Genomic DNA, 23752 nt, shown 5'->3' on the forward strand with positions numbered 1-23752 from the left:
GAGAAGCTGCAGCATCCCATGACCCTCAGTCAAGGTTGCAAAAACTGCTGGTGTCTGCCTTGAGTTATCAGCCTCTACTGTGACCCTCCTGCTTAGCCTGAGCACCTCTTCAGCATATCTGCCTTGTGTTGACTTTCATCTAATTGATAATGATTGCCTACACCAAGTTAGGTTCAGAGCATGTATTCTGGACTGTTGAAAGCACACAAAACACTTATTATCACTGTCAAAGATCTCTCCAATCTTTTGATCAGATGAGGTTCTAGTCCAGCATCCATACCAGGTGAATTAAATAGCCACATAATTCATAGTGGAGGGAATCCTGCCATATGAAAGAGTTTTTAAAAAATCCTCCAGAGAGCAAAAGATAACATACCAATTTTAGGAAAAAAAACAACAACTCTGACTCAGCCACACGGACCTACTCAGAACCATGGGCAAGCTTTCTCTATGTTCTTGACCTTTTAGTAAACAACTGCATTTATTATCTTGTATTTTATTGCTACATAAGTGCCACACATAGGATTGGTGAAAACAAGGTCTGTTCTTTCTGTGCAAAGTAGATAAGGAGACTGAATACTGAGAAATGACTAAGTTTAGAGAAAAACTGGAGCATGAACCATTTTACAGCTTCAGGGTGAGTTATGTTTTATATCCAAGTAAAATAGAATACATGCCTGATTTGCACTTATTATCTTACTGTAAACATTGGGATTTTTCAAGTCTGAAAAGACCCTTGAAAATGCAAAGGTTAACGTCTTCCCCAGGAATATTCGAAAGCTATTTTGAAATTCCCCACTTGAGTGTGGGCCATGAACTAGTTTGATATGTTTGATATGTTTGGACAGACCTTTAATTGGAATGCTCTGCTCTGAAAATGAAAAATATTTAAGTTATTACCTAGTGTGAGTTCCTACCATGCTATACTGGCAGTTCCTGGAAACATTTCTGACAGACAGGGAAAAGGGTTTCTGACATAATCCATTGTAACCTGAATGAAATGGAGAAACACATCCTGTTTGAGATCTAGCTTTTGATCAAGCCACAGGTCCTTAATGCAGGTGAAGTCCTTTTGGGGTTGACCTTAGCTGTTCCATCCGTTTCTTTTGCTGGCAACAGAGTAATAAATTACTTACTGAAATAGAGCTTGTGACAGATTCCCAGTTGGTCTCTGAAGCTGCTGCGGGTTGGAAATCTTCCTGGAAGGCAAAGAAACATCTGTGAGTCAGTCAAACCTCTGTTCAATTCATTATGTGCACAGTTTCAACATCTCAGCCTTCTGAATCTTTTTCCAACTAAGTGACAACAGACATAGGGCTATATTCCTGCTGAACAGGTCACCATTTGTCTTAAGCACATCTCCTCAAGAACCCTTCTCATTTAAGACATGGACATTTTCTTGTAAGTACTGGTGAAATGGAAAAGGCACAGGAAGGAATGCAAATTTTAACTTGGCCATCTACTGGCTGTGTGACCACAGACAACTGACAACCCCTCCAGTCCTTCCTTTCCTCAGCTAGTATGGAATCCTTACATTATAGGGCTGTTTTAAGAATTAAATGCATTAATTATGTAATTACCAATGGCACTGAATAAAGTGTTTGATAAAGAATAATAATAATTATCATTATTGACATATAGTTGGTTTAAACTAGGTTACGCATTATGTTCAATCTTGCCTGCTGACCTGGTCCAAAATATTGGTGATCTTTTCAACGATACACTAACTTCCAAGGGGTTGTTCCTGACTATATCAACAAATATAAGGAAGGATGGCAGGGGAAGAAAATGACTGGTAGTGACTAAGTACTGCCCATTTGGGGAAGGAAGGTCAAGGGCAGACTTGAAAACATTAGTTATCTCAGATAAGCCTTAGTGGATGTGTGATAGCAATAGATCACACAGAAAAAACTTCTCTTAAAAGGCAAACTTGTCTCCCATTTGTATGTGACCTCCATGTTAATTACTACAGCACCAGGAAGTTTAAAAAACATTAAGGGAAGGAAAACTAATTCTGTCATTTTTACAATCCACAGATGGCTTTCTGACCTTGCTAAAATAAATCACTTTAGCAAATATTTTCCAGCCTTACCGAGGAGTGGGAGGTGTTTTGAGAGGATGCTGAGAAATGTTCAGCCACTCTAGTCTGACAGCTTATTTATCCAAGTATACCTACTGAATGAGAGCTTAGTATCAGGTGTAAATTTCATTAACATTTTGAGGAGCTGGAAGTACATTTGTTAATTGGTTATGATGAGGCTGGTTTATATATAAATTTCCTGTGTTTAATAAAATTTCAGCTGATTACTGAGAGAGAACCGAGTCAAATGCGGGGTTCAAAAAATGAACAAATATTAGAAACTGACTAGATGATGGGTTGATAGGTGCAACAAACCACCATGTATCCCAGAACTTAAAGTAAAAAAAGAAAGAAAGAAAGAAACCGACTAGACATCATTATTTTAGTCACTTTTTTTTTTTTTTTTTTTTTTTTTGAGACCGAGTCTCACTCTGTCACCCAGGCTGGTGTGCAGTGGCGTGATCTTGGCTTACTGCAACCTCTGCCTCCCAGGTTCAAGCAATTCTCCTGCCTCAGCCTTCCTAGTAGCTGAGATTACAGGTGTGCACCACCACACCCAGCTAATTTTTGTATTTTTAGTAGAGATGGAGTTTCACCATGTTGGCCAGACTGGTCTTGAACTATTGACCTCAGGTGATCTACCCACCTCGGCCCCCCAAAGTGCTGGGATTACAGGCATGAGCCACTGGGCCCGGCCTCGTTATTCTAATCTTAATCCTAGGGAAGATAGAAAAGAAGCAGGAAATGTGGTATCTGCACTCTGCAAAACAGAATAGACACTAAAAGGACACTGAATTCCCACAGCGGGAAGATGTGTATAATCAAATGAAGGCTGGCATTTATATGAGTCTTCATAAGTCGGTGAGCACATAAGACTAGGCAAGAAGCCAGAGAGCCAGTGGCTTCTCCATTCCTTGATGAGACTATTGGTGGAGGACATATGCCAGGTATGGTAATGACAGGAGCAATCCTCACATTACAGAATTTTCATTTTCCCTTGTTCATTCAATATTTGTTAATCACCTGCTATTAATACTTTCTGAGCTGTGGGTAGGATCATGAGGAAATAAAAACTATCCCTACCCTCAAGGAATTCGAAACGTAAACACACAAATAAACACGTGCAGTAAACGCATGTGGGTGCTCTGATACCAGTCTACTCAGCATGCCATGGAAGGTAGTAATAGGTGGTTGTACCTGGGGAGAAAGTGGGCTTGAAAAAATTTCACATAGGAAGCTGATTTGTTAGTAGAGTCTTGGAAGATAAATAGTTGCTTCTTGCAGAAAACGCGGGTAGAAGACTCAAAGGGAAAGCAATGCTTAGACAAGGTGAGGAAAGTATACAGAAAAATAAACAACTTACTGGGGAAACTATGAGTCATGTTGGGCATAGTGCGTTTGAGAAGCCTACACTATGTACAGATGGAGATGTTCGGGGGGAAGTTTGCTACATGAGAATGGACCGCATGAGAGAGAATGGACCACATGTGACCTTGAGATATAGATTTGGGAAGTATCAACACAAAAATGCAATTCAACAAAGTAAAGGGTTATGTTGACCATGTGTTAAAATCAGAAGAGGGACAGTTTTAAAATCTTGGAACTGGAAATAGTTTTAGAATTATCTAGTCCAATCTCCTTATTTAAACAATAAGGAAACTGGCCAGGAGTGGTGGCTCACGCTTGTAATCCCAGCACTTTGGGAGGCCAAGGCAGGTGGATCACTTGAGGTCAGGAGTTCAAGACCAGCCTGGCCAACATGGTGAAAACTCATCTCTACTAATAATACAAAAAAAAAAAAAAAAAAAATTAGCCAGGTGTGGTGGCATGTACCTGTAATCCCAGTTACTCAGGAGGCTGAGGCAGGAGAATTTTTAAACCTGGGAGGCGGAGGTTGCAGTGGGCCAAGATTGCACCATTGCACTCCAGCCTTGGCAACAAGAGCGAAACTCTGTCTCAAAAGAAAAAATAAATAAATAAATAAATAAATAAGAAAATGAATGCTTAGAGAGATAGATGATGTGTTCTGTATCATGTACCCATTTTCTGGCAAAGCTAAGGCCACCAAAGCTCATTTCTAAGTAGAAACTGTGTGGTTGGTGACCTTCCACAGTGTTACAGCTGCCTTGGATAATGTGTGTATGGGGAGAAAAACGATGAAACAGTTTCCAAAAGGGGAATCAACAGAGCAGGAAACGCATATAGTTGAAGCTGAGTGCTGGTGGGTGGTTCTATGAGGACACCCTTTGAAGTAGCCTTAGTTATTTAGATTTCATATCTATCCTTAGTAAATTCTGTGATTTCAGTTCATTTCCTTGCATAGACACATGGTAAAAATATTTTGCTAAGATTTTTTTAAGCAGAAAGGGACTTTGGTGCACAAGCCCCTAAACAAATGTTACACAAGAACTTTTAGCTTCTTCACTGTCTGGGCTACAGGATTCCAGTTTGAAATTTTAATAAGAGCAAATGATAAAAGATTTCATTAAGTCCCAGATAAAACATAACTTTATCTTCTCTTAGCAATACAAATGTTAGACACTGAAAAGAAACCAACTTTTGTGTTACTTCAGAAGTTTACCATTACTTATAGATGACATATTTAAATTAAGCTTATAAAAAGGAATGACATCCCTTATAAAAATAAAACACCGAACCTCCAAGGTTTTAGCCCTGAAAGGAGAATCTTGGCAATAGGGAGGATTCACCTGCTAAATCCACAATATGATTATTTCTCATCTCTTCCGCCATAACCTCCTAAGTCCACTTAGAAACCAGCAAGTTTCCCAACTGCCTGTTAGCTCTTCCCCTAGGGTCAGAATTATCTCTTTTAATGGTAAATCAAATCACTTCTGTCGTCTGCTTAAAACCTTCCAATAGCTTTCCATTGCTCTTAGAATTTGGCAAAATAAGATCTGACTACCATTTGCCTCTATGAACTTCTTTCCTCTGGTGTCCTCTGATTTGATAACCTACCTTTCCCACTACCTCCACTCCTGCTACACTGGCCTTCTTTCAGTCCTGCAAATAACACGACAAGCCTCTTCTCCCCTCAGGTTTAATTCACTGCTGTTCCCTGCCTGGATGCACTTTCCCCAAACGCTCCAATGGCTGGCTCCTCATCATTTAGTTCTCTGCTCAAATATCTAACATCTTTGAGCATTCTATTTAAAATACTCCCACTCTTGGTCACTCTATCTACTTAACCTGCTTAATTTTCTTTAAAGCATTTATGGTTATCTGAAATAATTTTATGTTTGTTTTATTGTTGATTGTCTCTTTCCTCAAGTGAAATCACACTCCGGAATGGCAAAGATGCTGTTTATTTGTTCTTTACTCTATTCCAAGTTTCTAGCTGAGTTTTTAGTATATATTCCAATTTCTCTGGCTCCCAGTGTATACATAAGGATAATGATCAGCTGCTACTTGCTAGTAGCAAGCCAGTAGTTTACAGCCAGTGTCCATTCTGACTGGTTGGTCCCTATGCCATACTATTTGTTATATACCCTTAATATTATCCTGAGCAGACTGCTTGATTTTCAACCTCCAGACAAATGCAAAACAAACTCCTTTTTGTGGGTGCTCTCAGCAGAACAGTGCCCTTACCGTTACTTTAAGAAATGCTAAAATAGAACAAACAGTGAATAATCATTTAAAATTATATTAACAGTTTAGTTTACAAAGAAAACATTTCTGTTCTTTGGTATAGAAAACTTACATAAGTGCTTTTCAAGCAATGTCTTATTATTCTAAGAGGAGATAACTCTCTACTAGCTCCTAGAGGCTGGTACACAGCTTTTGACTTCCTCACCTCCTGCTCCTGAACTGTAGTATCTTCCATCCTAAAATAAAGGAGCTGATGTTTTAGTTACTTTGGTCCTATAGTCCATGTAGGGAATCTAGCACTGTGATGCTGTGTGTACCTTACTGTACCTTATAGAGACCATCTGGGGGTCTGATATGAGCAAACTGAAGTTCAGAGAGCCAAATGAGTTGTCCAGCATCTCCCAACTAATTATGACTACAGTTAGGACTAGGACCCAATTAGCTATTGTGCATCTCTTAGTTACATGCTCTTTCCAACCCACCAAATAATGTTATATATCATTGTATAATTATAAACATCTCAATCTGCATTGCCTTAATTAATAAAATTAATTTATACCATTAAAATAATTTATCCTCAGCTTAACTCCTCACATTAAAATAGTTCATAATTATATTTTGGCAGTGAAACTAATCATTTGGCATTTTGAAACAAAGCTCCCTCATTCTCTGCATTTTACTATTAAGCTTTGGAACATAGATATGATTCTCAAATCTTCACTTTCTAAATAGTTTAGGATGCACAGTTTGGTTTCTATGAGAAAAGTGTTACAGACTCGAAAGTTAGGGAGATGTGTACAAATAAAATCTTAAAGTGCTACATGAAAACACAGATAAATATTTATGTAAGTGTAGTGTGGAAGAGATATTTCTAAGCATAAATGCTAAAGTCAGAAAGCATAAAAATCGATACACCTTATATAACATTTTGTATATATACAAGATGTGTACATACAAGATGTATATATACAAAATGTATACATACAAAATGTATATATACAAAATGTTATATAAATCTAAAAGAGATCAAAAACAAAAGTAAAACCATAAGGACAAGCTAGTAAACACACTTGTAACAGATATAACAGGTAAACAGTTAACATCCTTAAAATAAAATGAACTCATAAATCAAAAGCTTATACAAGAGTATGTTCCATATCATACAATATTGCTAGAAAAAAATGTACAGATATATGAATGAAGCAGGACTGAAAAAGTATTCACAAAATGTTGATATTGGTTAGCACTGACATATTCTTATTTTCTTCTTTTTGTACACATGTTTTAAAATGTCATAGTAAACATCTAGTTTTAGTAAAACAGTAAATTTCTAAAACTACAATGGAAAAGAAAAAATGGACTGGATGTGTGTACACATATTACATATTAATATGACAGACAAGACTTTAGGGGTAAATGATCACAAATCATTTATCTGTACTTAGCACAAATCAAGAAGGTTTATTTATCTCATAAAGAGGATTCTTTATAAATGAAAAGAGGAATTATTCAACATTTATGATATCATTTATTGAATGGTGTCACCCATGTATTCCCTGGTAGGAAATAAAAGTGTTCTTGTAGATACGTTTCTCACCAATTGCTAAAAGAGAATTGTTCAAAGACTGGACTACAAAGCGTTCTAGCATGGTCACATTTGGCTCTACTAAAACATGGCTAACACAACACAAACTTTTAATGTCTTTAAAAGCAGCTATGAAAACATGCAATGAACCATCAGCTCAGGGTCAGTCAGGCATTTGTCAGGCTCAATTTGAGAACAATTTACCCACTGAATTGTGCTATATGGCTGAAAGCAAATATAGCTGGGGCTATAATAACATTACAGGTAATAAATGTTGTCAACAACAATCCTTGCTATTAAAGAATAAGATATGAGTGGGAATTTCCATTTTCAGAAAGGGTTTCTCCAGAGAAACTTTCTTTTCAGATTCCTTACCATTGGATATCTTGGGCCCATGCCAGAGAGGACAGTTGATATATTACAAGCTAACAAACAATCCACTCATTCATTCAGCAGAGCAAGCCTGCACATATTCAACCACGTACTGAGCACCAGCAATGGATGTCCAAAGAAATCCCTCTCCTGTCCCTTGATACCACGTGGAGCTAGAGACTCTTGTCCTTTAAGTCTTTGCAGACAGCTGTTCACAGACCAATACTTCAAACATTTGGGATGATTAGTTGTACCACCTGTTCCTGGATCTCACGGAGGGTGGCTGTTCATTTTTATCCTAGGTGATTATGCTTTATTTGAGTAGATAAGCCATAAACTATTCATGGCTAGAGGGATGTGTTTCACCAGCACTTAAAACATATGCAGTTACTTGGGAGTTTTTAAAAAGCTTTCAAATAAAACAATCTTTAACTTACTAAGGATGACTTATTTGGGGAAAGTTTTAAAAGACATTTGTCAGTGTATTTTCTGTCATTCTGAAAAATTTTATTCTATTTGCTGCTTTATATTCACTTCTCAGAGGCAGAAAATAAAGAAATCCCTCTCCTAATTGTATCTGTGCTTCTTGATTGAGTTAATGCTTAGAGCTTTTGAATTTCTAAATGCTTAATGCTTTTGAATTTCAAAAGAAACACCTCTAAGCATTCAAAAGAAAGACAAAGGGGTTTGTTAAGATTCATAAAACAGTAATGAGGCCGGGCGCGGTGGCTCACGCCTGTAATCCCAGCACTTTGGGAGGCCGAGGCGGGCGGATCACGAGGTCAGGAGATCGAGACCATCCCGGCTAAAACGGTGAAACCCCGTCTCTACTAAAAATACAAAAAATTAGCCGGGCGTAGTGGCGGGCGCCTGTAGTCCCAGCTACTTGGGAGGCTGAGGCAGGAGAATGGCGTGAACCCGGGAGGCGGAGCTTGCAGTGAGCCGAGATCCCGCCACTGCACTCCAGCCTGGGCGACAGAGCGAGACTCCGTCTCAAAAAAAAAAAAAAAAAAAAAAAAAAAAAAAAAAAAAAAAAAAAAACAGTAATGAACAAACACATGATCAACATCCATTCTTTCAACAAATTCTAAGTTTGTTCATGACACTCTGCTCTGTTCATGACCCACTGAGGGAAATCCAAATAAAGCCAAACTTGGAGGCCTGTGTCCTGGGATTACTCTACAGGGAGATCCTTTTGAATAAAGGCTTTTGATGCTTCAGTACCTGATTTTCTGGCATGCAGACCCAACAATGTTTGTGGAAATGATATTACACTAATGTCTTAACGTCTACAGGAATAGAATAAAGCAAAAATTAAAAACCCTTAGAATCAATAAAACTCTGTAGCCCAACCAAAACTTAACAAGTATACTTTCTTTACAGACTCATCATCAAACTAGCTCTTCTACACATAATATGGTAAAGGTCTTGGCAGGAGGCCAGATTTTATTGGCAAGAATATTTAATACAAGGATATCAAGAGTCTAAGAATCAATAATTAACAAGAATCAAAGAATATCTCTCAAAGTTAGAGAATTTGCCTGTGAAATTTAATAATATATGTTTCTTAGAGTTACAAGAAGCCCTGGATAGGAGCTTTCTGTTATAGTAAAAATATCTTTAATTAAATAAATAAATTTTAATAAGAAATATAGATAAGACACACAGATTTTCACTGATTTAAGAGTTAATTTTATAACATTTTCATTTATCATTATTGACAATCAAGTACAATGTTTTAATTTAGAACTGCTAGGATTCATTAATCAATCATCCACGTAATCTTGGTGCTAGTGTCAAGATATTTTTAAAAGTTCATTTTTCTTCCTACATTATGAGAAAAGGAAATTTTTATACTTGTTAGTTTCTGATTTCTTCAGACTGAACTTAGTTTGGGAATTTTTTTTTTTTTTTTTAAGTTTTAAGGTACATGTGGACAATGTGCAGGTTAGTTACATATGTATACATGTGCCATGCTGGTGTGCTGCACCCATTAACTCGTCATTTAGCATTAGGTATATCTCCTAATGCTATCCCTCCCCTCTCCCCCCACCCCACAACAGTCCCCAGAGCGTGATGTTCCCCTTCCTGTGTCCATGTGTTCTCATTGTTCAATTCCCATCTATGAGTGAGAACAGGCGGTGTTTGGTTTTTTGTCTTTGCGATAGATTACTGAGAATGATGATTTCCAATTTCATCCATGTCCCTACAAAGGACATGAACTCATCATTTTTATGGCTGCATAGTATTCCATGGTGTATATGTGCCACATTTTCTTAATCCAGTCTATCACATAAGGACATTTGGGTTGGTTCCAAGTCTTTGCTATTGTGAATAGTACCACAATAAACATACGTGTGCATGTGTCTTTATAGCAGCACGATTTATAGTCCTTTGGGTATATATCCAGTAATGGGATGGCTGGGTCAAATGGTATTTCTAGTTCTAGATCCCTGAGGAATCGCCACACTGACTTCCACAATGGTTGAACTAGTTTACATTCCCACCAACAGTGTAAAAGTATTCCTATTTCTCCACATCCTCTCCAGCACCTGTTGTTTCCTGACTTTTTAATGATTGCCATTCTAACTGGCGTGAGATGGTATCTCATTGTGGTTTTGATTTGCATTTCTCTGATGGCCAGTGATGGTGAACATTTTTTCATGTGTCTTTTGGCTGCATAGATGTCTTCTTTTGAGAAGTGTCTGTTCATATCCTTCACCCACTTTTTGATGGGGTTGTTTTTTTCTTGTAAATTTGTTTGAGTTCATTGTAGATTCTGGATATTATCCCTTTGTCAGATGAGTAGGTTGCAAAAATTTTCTCCCATTTTATAGTTTGCCTGTTCACTCTGATGGTAGTTTCTTTTGCTGTGCAGAAGCTCTTTAGTTTAATTAGATCCCATTTGTCAATTTTGGCTTTTGTTGCCATTGCTTTTGGTGTTTTAGACATGAAGTCCTTGCCCATGCCTATGTCCTGAATGGTAATGCCTAGGTTTTCTTCTAGGGTTTTTATGGTTTTAGGTCTAACGTTTAAGTCTTTAATCTATCTTGAATTAATTTCTGTATAAGGTGTAAGGAAGGGATCCAGTTGAATCAATATCGTGAAAATGGCCATACTGCCCAAGGTAATTTATAGATTCAATGCCATCCCCATCAAGCTACCAATGACTTTCTTCACAGAATTGGAAAAAACTACTTTAAAGTTCATGTGGAATCAAAAAAGAGCCCGCATCGCCAAGTCAATCCTAAGCCAAAAGAACAAAGCTGGAGGCATCACGCTACCTGACTTCAAACTATACTACAAGGCTACAGTAACCAAAGCAGCATGGTACAGGTACCAAAACAGAGATATAGATCAATGGAACAGAACAGAGCCCTCAGAAATAATGCCGCATATCTACAACTATCTGATCTTTGACAAACCTGAGAAAAACAAGCAATGGTGAAAGGATTCCCTATTTAATAAATGGTGCTGGGAAAACTGGCTAGTTTGGGAATTTGTTCTCGATATAGTAAGTAAAGATTAGAGCAAATCCCAGTCCAGCAAGCTGAGAAGAGAAGGGGGTCATTGATTTAAAAGGGGTCATGAGAATGATATTCAAGAACTAGAGAGGATCAGCGTGTTTGCAGATAGAGAGAGGGGTGCCGCATACCAAGGGGCTGCACAGAAAGTTGCAAATTGCAAAATACTACTTTGTTAATAGCTTCCATGGTGTTTGGTCATACCATGGTGTTTGGTGTATGGTGTTGGTTCACCAACCTCCATGGTGTTTGGTAAGTGAACATTTAATTTACACCTAGAGAAATACTACAGTATTTCTACAATCTGTTGCCGAAGAGCTAGGTTCAGATTTAAATTTTGTGACTAGTTGTTTAGCATTAAAAAAAAAAACTCTGTGATTAATTATTTTGCAGTAACGCCTGCCACTTATGGAGCACAGATTTTATGCCGGTGACTATATGAAATACTTTCCATAAATTATCTCATTCATCATTTCTACAGTAGCTTTAAAAGATGAGGAAGCAGAAAGACAGGATGCAAGCCCTATTATTAAGGAAGTGCCACAGATACCTGAAACCGTGGCTGAGTCTCTGTACTCTTTCATCTTTGTTGAATAATTCCTCTTTTCTTTTATAAATAATCCTTTTTATAAAATAAACGAATCTTCTTGATTTGTGCTAAGTTCAGGTTTTCATAAATTCCTTAAATGCATTTCAAAGAGAACATCTGATTCAATTCACCAGTGGTCTGAAATTTATTAAAGATTGTACTTTTGATATTGCTAAGCTAATCTTAAAGATTGTTTATACCAAGCTAAAATGAATGACTTAGGAAATTATTCCTGCACCTTAGGAAAATTACAAGTTTGAAATGAAGAAATACTGACCTGATTCATATTTTCATTTTCTTGCAAGCACAGTGCCTGGTACATAGTAAGCACTCTTTTTTGTTTGTTTGGTTTGTTTTTATTATTGTGGTTAAGAGAGGAAATACTGTTTCATGCTCAGAATTCAACAAACCATTTCACGCCTCTGTGCTGAAATTCACACTCCCAATAACTGCTAAATTTCTCTGTACTTGACTGACGTTATATAAATAGATTTTCTTCATGGTGGCCAAAAGCTAGTTACATTATTAAAACCAGTAATTAGAGAAAATGGGAATTACAAACAGTATGAAGATTAAGGCCATGTCACCAAAATCCCTTAGCTAAAATCATTATCTCTAAAAACTCAAATTATTCCATTACTAATTAAAACTCCTAAGATCTGACTTTAGGGAGAAAATACCATTTGAAGTCTAAAAGCCAAAGCCACAGTCAACACAGCTGGTACGGTTCCATGAAAAAGAGCACTCATGAAATGTTACTCAGCAAGTGATGGGATTATAATGTAAACGGGAACATTTTCTAAGAGAATCAGGAGTGTCAGTTGTAAAGTATTAAAAAAGCTGTCCATTCTTTTTAAAAATATGGGTATTTCCTAGTGAGGTGACTTTGCGTTGTGACACCTTTTCCCTCTACACATTCATCCTTATCCTTACACTGGACCAGTGTTCATTCATCAGAGCTGCCACCCATCATAATTATCATTTGGCACTATGGGCCATACTGAATATAAAATATTTAAGAGTCATGTTACTACTATACAGCTATGTAAATGAAAACAAGTAATTCAAAGTACCTTTTTCTTGACCTGACTTCTTTCTAAGGGGATTTCCAGAGTCATTTATGTGGTTAAACTAGAGAGATGGTTAATGTAAAGTCTGAAACAAAAGCATAGGACTCATACCCTTGCAAATTACTCTTCTCACAAAAGGGGAGATTCGTATATTCTTGACTTTGTACTTCCTCTTTCCACTCCCCACTCAACTAGCAACTAACTAAGGCAGCTGGCACATTTTGGATCTCCAAAGCAGGCTTGCTATCTGGGCCCATTAGGTGAACTTGTTGGAACTGAGTGCCAAGCACACAGGTCGTGAGTTTCAGACTGTGCTAAGTACAGGTTTTCATAAATTCCTAAGAATTTATGACAGAGCTGATAAAACTTTACAAAGAGAAAAAATACTGTTGCCAAACACCATGGTTAACATCAGTGAAAGAGACCTCCTGGGGGCAACTGCCTGACTCAGTCCATAGGACTTCATCCCTCCAAGTAAACAACTTGAAGTCTTCTCCTCCAGGCTGGGAGGATCATTTTGGAATAGGATAAATGGTAATTAAATGAGAGATCCTGCAATTTAATTTCTATTAGTTCATGCGTATGGGCATTAAAAATTCCTTTTTACTTTTGGTTATCATCAGTTAACAGGAACATCTTTTACTTTGACCAGTTATTACACTAGCAATATTCATCAGCAGTTTTATGAGTGAAAACACTAGGCTTTGCACAGCAAAATTTTAATCCCAGATTGGTTCTTCTTTGCATCTTGCTATAATTTTTTGTACCGTTACATCTGTGTACTTAGAGAATGCAAATTTACTGCCATATTCATCCAAACCAAATACAATTACAAAGGTATTTTTGGTGCCAAAAAAAGGATAAACTGCATTCCAGAGTGAAAGGAAAAATAGGGATTGGGTGAACTATTGCTTCTCCTCTACTGGACTGGGAAAATTCAGAGCTGACTAGGTTATTGCCCACGCCCAAGGATTAGCTGAGATATTCTTTGGACATGGATTTTTTTTGGCAGGCCTCATGCCTCACACTTACACTTTAAACTGTTATTTACTTATGTATTTATTTTTTATTCTTACCAGTTTGGAAGTTGCAAGGGATCTCATAGACTACTGAGTTCAAAGTTTTATTCACTATTTGACTGAGATTTTTGAATGACCAAAGTATGTAAGTCATTGAGCAAGGTGTTGGCTAATGCATGGATGCACAGGAAGCAAAATTGACCTTAAGAAATGTGTTGTCTAGATTAATTCTAATGTCCTACTCTTGTCATTCCTTTTTGTATCAGCAACTTTAAGTTTTTTAATGGCTTACCATTATCTCGAATTATCTTGTGTCTTAGTCAGTTGGAGCAGCTAGAACAAATTCCCATAGGATATGTAACTTGTAAAGAACAGAACTTTATTTCTGACAGTTCTAGAGGATGGGAAGTCCAAGACCGGAGTGCTGACATGGTTGGGCTCAGGTTTGCAAATGGATGTCTTCTTGCTGTGCCCACACATGGTAGAGAGAGAGAGAGATCTTTTCTCTCATGTCTCTTCTTACAAGGGCACTAATCACATCAAGATGGCTCCACCTTCATGTCTTATTTACCTCCCAAAGGCCCCACTTGTCAATACCAACAGAGTGGAGATTAGGATTTCAACAGATGAGTTTAGGGAAAACCCTCACATTCAATCCATAGCATCTTATTCACTTATTTCTGTACTTGTTTCCAGGTTTGTGTCTCTCCATTAGGGTGTAAGCTCCTTAAGGGTGGAAATGTTTTCTAACTTTCTCATTGCTCTCCCACCAAGTACCTACAACAGGGCCTGTTAACCTTTTACATTCAATAAATAGTGTTGCAATGGAAGAATGACTAGTCATTGAATTGCTGTGAGATTCAAATGAGATGAGTAATGTAAAGTCATAGCATATTGGCTGTTACATAGCAGATGTTAATAAATATTTGTAGAATGAATAAATGAATAATCCAATCTATAGAAATAAATGCTCTACTGGGGCCATAAGCAAAGCCCCATAGTTCTACAGGAGAAAGAATGATTTAAGTACATTTAGGAAGGCTGGAGGAAGGTCTCAGAAGAAGTGGCCTTGGAATTGACTTTTGTATGATAATTAAGGATTTTGATAGGGAAGCAGGCAGGTGAAGGAGAAAGCATGCACTAAGGCAGAGACTGGCATCATCTGGGATCTGTGAGTATGTCATGTGCCCAAAGTAACAGACAGGAAATTAGACTGACAAAGAAGGTACAAGACAAATCAGAGGATCCTGAAGACCACACTTGGGATTTTTTCTTAATCATCTATTCAGCGATTCATTTAATCATTTGTTCAACAGGTATTTATGGCTTCCACTACTACTGACTACACAGTTCAAGGTACTGGAGAAAAAGAAACAAAAAGAACTTCAACGTCACTGCTCTCACAGAGCTGTCATCCTGATCACCCTTTTCCTACATACAGGAAACAGCCCCAAAGGGTTAAGTGTCAGCGTCACTTGCCAATTAGTGCCTGCAGCCCAGGTCTCTTGACATACTGTACTGCATTACACTAAGTTGTAGGAAACTGGTTGTTAATATAGCCACATCTTCACCTCCTCTGCTCACATGTCTCCTTTTCAGTGCATATGAAAAATACAAAGAACATTTTTTTATAATCTGGAATTCAGTGAACTTAAGTAACATAATGGGGTTCCTAGGAAACCAACAAGAAACAACAGATAGCTATTCAGGGAAATGAGGGTGGTGGAAAAAAATTGAAGACAAGGAATTCGGTGCCGTTGGTTTGGAAAAACTTTTTGAAATGTCCATAATACTTTAAGGCAATCTTAGAATTAGGAGTCATTCCTTATTTTGGTAATCAAACCCCTCAAATGATAATAACATTTTCCACTCAAATACAATTTAGTCCTATCTTATCCCTCAGCAGGGTACAAAATTACCTTTCTTTTTCAAAGAAGAGTTAGAATGTTTTCCTGATCAGAGGATTCAATAGATGAGAATCCCTTAAGTACTTTATGATGACCCTTGAGGTTGGTCAGCAGGAATTGATTTGGAGGAATTACTAAAAGCTATGTCTAAACCCAGCAGGGATCATAAAGATGCTTGAATACAAATGGCCCTGGATGGCTTTCATCAAAGGATCTCTGAGTACAAACAAAATAAAAGCAAACTCCATGCCTGTAAATGAAGAGGAGGCAAGTTGAGAAACTCTTTTGCTACTTATCTTGCTAATATGAAATATCCTGCACTGTTTTGGATGGTAGAAAAGATTTGATAATCACCATGTGAAAACATTTTTAAAAACTGATGTTGGAGACAGAGCACTCAATTGAATTACATATGGAACACCGACTGTGTGACCTTAGGCAAGGTAAAGCCTCTATGCTTTAGATTCCTGATTGTAAACTGGGAAAAATATCTTCTTTCCTCCATAGGGTTAGTTTGAGGAGTAAATTAGATAATTCACATGAAACTATCTGGCTCAGGTAGACATTCATTACATTCTTTCCAAAATGAGTACAATCTTTCTAACATATTATTTTTTTTATTTGAAAGATGGCTATATTAATACCTCCACAGAGATGGAAATCACCTGTTACAAATTCTAGAGTCAGACTCTGCATGCAAATTCCAACTTCTCCACTTACCAGCTAGAGATCTTGTACCAATTACTTAATTTCTCTGTACCTCAATATTCTTATCTGAAAATTGAAATAATTCCTACATCAGGGGGCTGTTTTGAAGATTAAACACTTCGTGCTACCTGTAAAGCTATTAGAAAAGTGCCTGTCACATAGAAAGTCCTTAGCCTTCACACATTTTCACATTTTTTCCTTGGAAAAAATGTTGGTTGGTGCATCAAACTTACAATGGCCTAATGTACTATCACCTAGAATGTGCACTAAGATTTTGAAATTTTCTGAAAGCTTTAACACCTCCTATCTCATTTCACTCTCCCTATCACTATATGAGCTGGGTATAGGCACAGATACATTAGATAAAATAGTTTGGGTCTTCTCAAAGAGGAGATTTTTCAGGTTTCCTGGCTGGTCATTTCTATCATCATTAGATAAAAGAATGTGTAATTTCTTCTCGAGTTTTTTTCCCTGGGGAAAAAGGAAATGGCAAACAGTCCTTCACCACCCCATAATTATCTACGATATCGTTCGTACAAAAGTAGTTCCTCATCATCCCCAGCAAAGTATTGAGTGCCTACCCATTGCTAGTACTGTTTTAGGCATTGGGCATACATGGGAAACAAACCAAACAGCCGATTTGGCATGTGAAATGGGAACAGGCATATATAACAGTACTTTACTGGCTGTAAATTACCATCTATATATCTAAAGTACTGTTTTATTTAATATAGTCTTCAAAATGTCAAATAAAACATCTTAAGAGGACAAGACCTTTCTTTAGAAATAAAGAAATTTAAAGATAAAAACAATCTATGCATATGCTAGCTAATTTATGCAGGAATTTAGCTTGTTCTTGGACTGAGTCATCTTTTATCCAGCCTCCTATCTCTCGGTAAAATATTTCTACATCCCAATTAATTACTGCTGTTTCTAACTCATGAATTAAAATTTGTAATTTGGGGGCTATAAGACACTTTACAAATCATTTACCAATGCTTTCAACTTAGAGGTACTGTGTCGCCCATCTCTATGACATTTAGCCTTCTAGAGCTTCTCCCTAGTGCCCTCCCTCTGGGAGGGGTTTACTTCTTGCTCCCATGATGGCAGGCTTGGTCATGTGATTTGCTTTGACCAACACAATGTAAGTAGAAGTGATCAATGTCACATTTGACCAGAAGCTTTAAAACATATTGTATGTACTATCATTGCTCTTTTTTTTCTCTGTTATAATAATAGCTTGTCCCAGAAGGGAACTGATTCTTCAGCCTGGATTTCCAACTGAAGAAGCTACATGCGGCTCAGCTACAGGTGATTAGCAGCTGATATGTAACATGAATGAGAAACAGACCTTTGTTTCTATAAGTCACTGACATTTCAGGGTTGTTAATGCAGCATAACCTAGCAAACTATTGCTATTTCAGAAATCAGTGTCCAGAGCCATTTTCCAATGAGGCTGCTTCTAACTCATGAGAGAGCCAGGACTAGATCCCATGTCTCCTGCCTTAGTCCAGATTTTGTGCACTCTAACATATGCTTTAAGAAAAGCAGGTCCTTTTCTTGGTCACACATTTTCTTTTCCTTCCCATATCCCCTAGTGGCAAAATGTGAACACTGCCCTACCTACCCTGTGGCACCCTTCTAATCTCTATCCAACCCTAATAAAAGGAAAACCACTTTGGTTCCAGAGACAATGGATCATTTGGGAGGGCTGAGGTGCTGTCCTCTGTGAGGTGCACAGGGAGCAGGTGAGGTCCACACAGAAGACAGAATAAACAGTAGTACTACTGGTCCAGGTAGGAGTAAGGTACTCATTTACTTTGAATCCAAGTGCTACTTCAAAAGGCATCAAAATATTTGTGCTCTGAGCTATTAGATAGTTGAAGTACAGGTTAAACTTTTCATAATATTCCAGTCAGTATCATTTCAGGTGATATTTATATTTTAAAAAGATGGAAGTAGTCCACAAGGTAGTGGAGTGGGGAAAGGGTAATCACATACTAGATGTATTTGATAAACAGTAATTCTTCTTTCAACATAAGATCAATAGCATGAGTATAGGTTCCCTCAAGAAACACTCTTGACATTTAAAATAAATCCTCTGAAAAGGAAAACTTTTTATTTTATGTGAAATGATATGTAGACCTTGATATACAGCCACTGAACAACATTCACTCTGCTCTCTCTGCATTTGACGTGAGAAGCCAGGGGAAACTTATCAGTTAAGACGGCTCTTCAATAGCCATCTTTTCAAGTACTATTTTGAAGCTACAGTAAACATATACTACCTAACCATAGGATCTTTCCTTTTACATAATGGATTCATTTAGAGAAGATGTTAAGGGACTTAAGTGAGAGAAGACGTTAGAGGTCATCTCGTTAATAGTTGTACAAAATGCAACAATTGTTTATCATCATCAAAAGTGGTCAGCCAGGTGCTGTATCTTTATTTTCAGCTGCCAAAGCTCTATTTTAAAGTAAATCCAGCAGCTGTAAAAATTCCCCCTTGACATTTGAATTAGATGCAAAGTTCTGCACAATATCGTGTGCACTGCTATGTTAACAGGATATGTATGGGTAGAAAGAATACAATTGATATTCAAAGCTCTTGTTTACATGTAGAAAAGAGCACAGTACTCAAGGCAAGGGCAGCAGAGGGTTGGGGTTGGGTAGAGTTCATGGTCCAGCTCACAACGTCTATCACATTCACATACTGACCATGGTAGACTTGATCTGAATGTGCAATTCATTGCCCTTGAGAGGTCCTATCATTCTGACTGACAGGTTTAGAGGAGGCCTCCTCAACAACAGGAACACCTGCACTGAGCAAAATGGAAAACCCTGACACTTCGACAGCCTCTTGATATCCAGGTTGTGGGAAAGAAAAGCCTCTTCCATGAAGCAGATGAGCGAGGAAGCAGTGGTGGCACATGTCCCTGGTCTAGGGCTTTCTCTTCCAGGCCCAGATTCAGCAAGTTGACGGCACTGGGGGCCCCTGCCTTTGCCATTTACCTATTTCCAAATAGGACAAGGAAAAGGAGACTTATTTCATAACTCCTTATGTTGTGGGGAGAGAACTGTGTAATAACATTTAATATATAAAAGCCAAAAACTATTTGGGTCAGGCAAAAAACATCTAATTAGAGTCACTCTATTCCCAGTATGTTTCAGATGTTTCCTGATTAGTTATGGAGGACAGAATGTGGGTGGAGGAAGAGGGAAGAAGGACTGTTCAAAACACAAGAATACTGCATTTAATCACAGTGTCAGATAATGCTGGGTTAAGAAAGCTAGCTATTTGCTTTACTGATACTTTCTGTGGCTCCATTCATATTTTCTCATTTCTCCTCAAAAATGACAGTCAATTTCTACAGTTGTTATTCAGCCAATGCATATATTAGATTTCATCAAGATAAATAAAAGAAAAACATCCCCAATAGTCCTGTGTGGAGAGAGGAAGATACTATCTTTTTAAGAGCAACAACAACAAAAAGCACCATAAACTTTTATAGAAGATAAGAATATAAGGTAACAAGAATCTCTGCTCTCAAGAGAGCGCTGCATTATCCTCTGCCAACTTCTTAGTTTACTGATGGGATCGAAAGCTGATGATTTATTGTAAACGGTAAAGAATATTGCTTTTGGGAGCTGTTTTAGCCTGGACTCCATATTCTCTTCAAAAATAAAAAGGAAACTTTAAATTGGATTTCTGACATTGGTTGTTTTCAGCCCAAAATCTATTAAGTAGATTAATTTTAAAATGGGGCACCATGGGCACAATATCACTTCCAAGAGGCTATTGCTTTGTGATGCCTTCTAGACAGACCCCTGAATCGCTGCAGGCACAATCCTGATAACCCTTGATGCTTTCACTGACCACTCACTCTTCTCTCCTGTAACCAAAGCTTTATTCTCCCCAGAAAACAGTGCTTCCCCTGAGGCCTACCAAATGAGAGCTCACACTCTGAAAACCCGGCTAGGCTGAGGAAAAGTGAGGGCGGGGTGCCTCTCTTCTGGCTTCATTCAAGCACTTTCAAACCATTGATATTTTTAGTCTAATACTTTCATATAACCCCAAATATAAAAGCTATGAAAGGGATGCCACTCAGAGGCAATCAACATTATTGGTTCCTTACATGTTCGTTAAAAGATATTGTAGGCATATAAAGGTAAACTCATACACAGATACTTCCTCTCAAACTCAGGCCACTCAACTATTATTCCCTGTTTTCACTCTGTATATTGCTTCCTTTCCTGAAGTCCTGGTCATTTCCCCACATTCACTAAGGACCATGTCAACTGGGTTCCTATATTTGTCTCCACCCCTTGTTACCATCATTCTGGATAATGTCAGTGTCCTTGGTTTGCAGCCCTTTGAATCTTTGAACTCAAATAACCCTTCTTATGTACCCCAACTTCTGCAACTCCCTCTTAATCTGAAGTCTTAGATGCAAAATGCATTCTGTGACTCTGCTCTCCATATCGTTGTGTATCTCTCTTGCTAATATCTCTCTCTTCGATCTCACTGAGCCCTCCAGACTTCACCCCTCTATATTCCCACAAGTTATCAGCCTTCTATTGATCTTAGAGGCCCCCAAATTCATCACTTTGGCTTCTCTTATTAATACTCCCTTGCCACCTGGCTGTTCAGTGGCATTCACCCTTCAAAACCCCTTCTCTAGAACAATCAAGTCATCAACATCTGGACTCCTCCATCTGGATTTCTGCAGGAGAAAAATTACAAACCCAATAAACTGTGTTGCCTTTCTTCCACCCATATCTTTATTCTCTTCTTGTTTGTCCCTTGCAATCTCTTTAAAACTGTTTGTCTCTACCATCTTAAAATATTTCCTTGATTCTAACCTTCTCTCTAGGTATCAATTATTTAAATCCTTGACCCTTTACACTCAAGCTTCTTGAAACAGTTTGTAATTGTTGCTTACTGCAATTTTGATTACTCTTCATCCCATGGCAGCCTGGTTCTTGCTCCACCACTGTGATGTAAAGACTCTTACTAATATTTGTAATAGCCTCTGAATTGCCAAAGCCAACGCAACTTCTAGCCTCTGTTTTACGTGACGTCTTTCTTGCGTTAACATTGTTGATGACTCCCTCCTTAATGCCCCTCTCCCTTGGCTTCTGTAATATTATGCTCTGGTGTTCTCCTTTTATCTCTCTATGTCTTCTCTTGAGTGCCTTCTTTTAATGTCTTCTCGAATTGTCAGCATTTCCCAGCACTCTGTTACTCAATACTTGGCACCTGAGTAAACTCACTGACTTTTCTGGCTTCAGCAATAATTTATACATGAATGATGTCTGTCTCCATATCCCAGGTCAAGAAATCTTTACTGAGATCAGATCGTTTTCCCAAATTCCCTCTGGCCATCTCCTACGGGACGTCTGATAAGCTCCTTAAACTCAACAGGTCCAAAGTATTATTATCAAATTTTCCATAAAACCTACTCATCGTCGTCCTGTGTTCCCTTTCACAGAAAAATACCTTACTCTCTTCACCGAATTGTGCATATCCTACACCTGAATATCAAAGTAAAATATTCCCAAATTAATCTCTAAATCCTTCAGGTTATAATTTCTTAATCCTTCAAAGCCATATCTTCTAGTCTATGCTTCAATTCAAGGGTTCGTCATGTCTCTTTTGGATTGCTATGACAGCCTCCTAAATAAACAGTCTTTCTCAATTCTTGCAGAGCTGTAGTCGCCTTCCATTGGCCTGCCATATTGGTCTTCAAAAGCAAAATCGAAACATACAGCATTATACTACCCATGTAACTTCCAAGCCCCACATCTTTCAGAGTTTTGCAACCCTTTGATAAGCACGTAAAACCCTCATGATCTGGCTCCTGTATTCCTCTCCAACATCATTTCCAGCCAGTGGCTCATGTTTCTCCAGGCTTTCAGAATTACTTTATGCTTTGTCAGCTCTCTTAAATTTGCATAGGCTATTCTCTTTGCATGGAAAGTTCTCCCAACTCTTTCCCATTTATCTAATTCCACTTCATCATTTAGAACACAAATGAAACCACATCCTTTGAGAAATATCTTTAGGTCTGATGTAGATGCTCCCTTCTCTGTGTCTCCACAGTATACAGAGACTTTCACAGTATACTTTTTCATCAACTTTCATGCTTACGCAGCTGCCAGTATAGTGCCTGGTAAATATTGGGCTCTTGATAAAGAATGAATGAGCTCCTAGGGCATGTTGTGACACATTCTCAAATTCTTAATGAAGATCTATTATTAGCTAGAAATTTAATTACTATATTCAAATACCATATTTTCAGGTGGTGAACTCACCTCTTTTTAAAACCATCTTTATTCATATAGGTGGCTTAAAGTGAAATGTTGGCTTAAGGGTTACTATTATTTCTATTCTTATACATTTCTAAGTGTGTGACAACTCAAGGTTCTATAAAACTACTTCCTTGGCAGAAAGAGAGAAGTTACTATTTAGTTTTACACCAAGCCTGGTTTTTTTTTTTTTTTTTTTTTTTTCCTGGAAGTGGTTGAGGTATCACCCTTAACATGAATGTTAAAAAGTCCTGGGTATCAGGCAACTTATTTATTTTAGGGCTGTGTGAAAATAATATCTTCTCTATATTTTTGTCCTGTGATATGTTAGAGCTACTCCTTCAGGGGCTTTTAATATTAAAATTCAAGATATTGCAATGATTTTCATGCATTTGACTCTGCTAACAGAGTTCTTGTCTTTTAAAATTTATTCACTACCCATATTTGGCTTAATTTAGGGATGAAAAATACAGATTCTAGTAGCAATAAAATACCCAGACAATGAAAACAAAATAAAAACAGTGGTTTTTATAATAACATTAATTCTGGACCTGGAGAATACTAAAATTTTTGTGAGAAAACAAAAGGTCATCTTAGAAGACAGAAAATACTCATATTTAAAAATAAAGACTTAGAAATTTAAAACAATACAGAGTTTCCCTACCATAGATCTCCATGCCTAATCAACTTGAAAGACACAGAGATGTCTGTGCTAATTATACACACTATACATTTAAGAGAGGGGTTAAATTATTTACCTGGCAAAGGTCCTTCAGTAACTTTAATAACTTGTGCAATGTACAAGTATAGGGCCCTGGTTAGGGCAGATTTAGTGGAGTATTTTAGACATCCTTTCTATGGAAATGATGGTATTACATTAGATATACATCCTCTTTGAGTTGAGAGAACATATAAATTAGTGAAAAAAATTCTCTAAATATCAATAATTGATGCAAGGTGGCTATTACAGCATATCACATACA

At 37.6% G+C, this 23752-nt stretch overlaps 1 protein-coding gene across 2 annotated transcripts in view; it reads right to left on the reverse strand.

Annotated features, from left to right (window-relative positions):
* The window catches only part of PDGFD (platelet derived growth factor D), a 256959-nt gene that overhangs the window by 39337 nt on the left and 193870 nt on the right, over positions 1 to 23752 (reverse strand). For both annotated transcript variants that reach the window (NM_033135.4, NM_025208.5), the window contains exon 4: positions 1137 to 1199. In NM_033135.4, the coding sequence (NP_149126.1) occupies positions 1137 to 1199 (63 nt within the window). The remainder of the gene's footprint in view (positions 1 to 1136; positions 1200 to 23752) is intronic.

Source organism: Homo sapiens, chromosome 11 (genome assembly GCF_000001405.40).
Source record: "Homo sapiens chromosome 11, GRCh38.p14 Primary Assembly".
Classification (NCBI taxonomy): domain Eukaryota; kingdom Metazoa; phylum Chordata; class Mammalia; order Primates; family Hominidae; genus Homo; species Homo sapiens.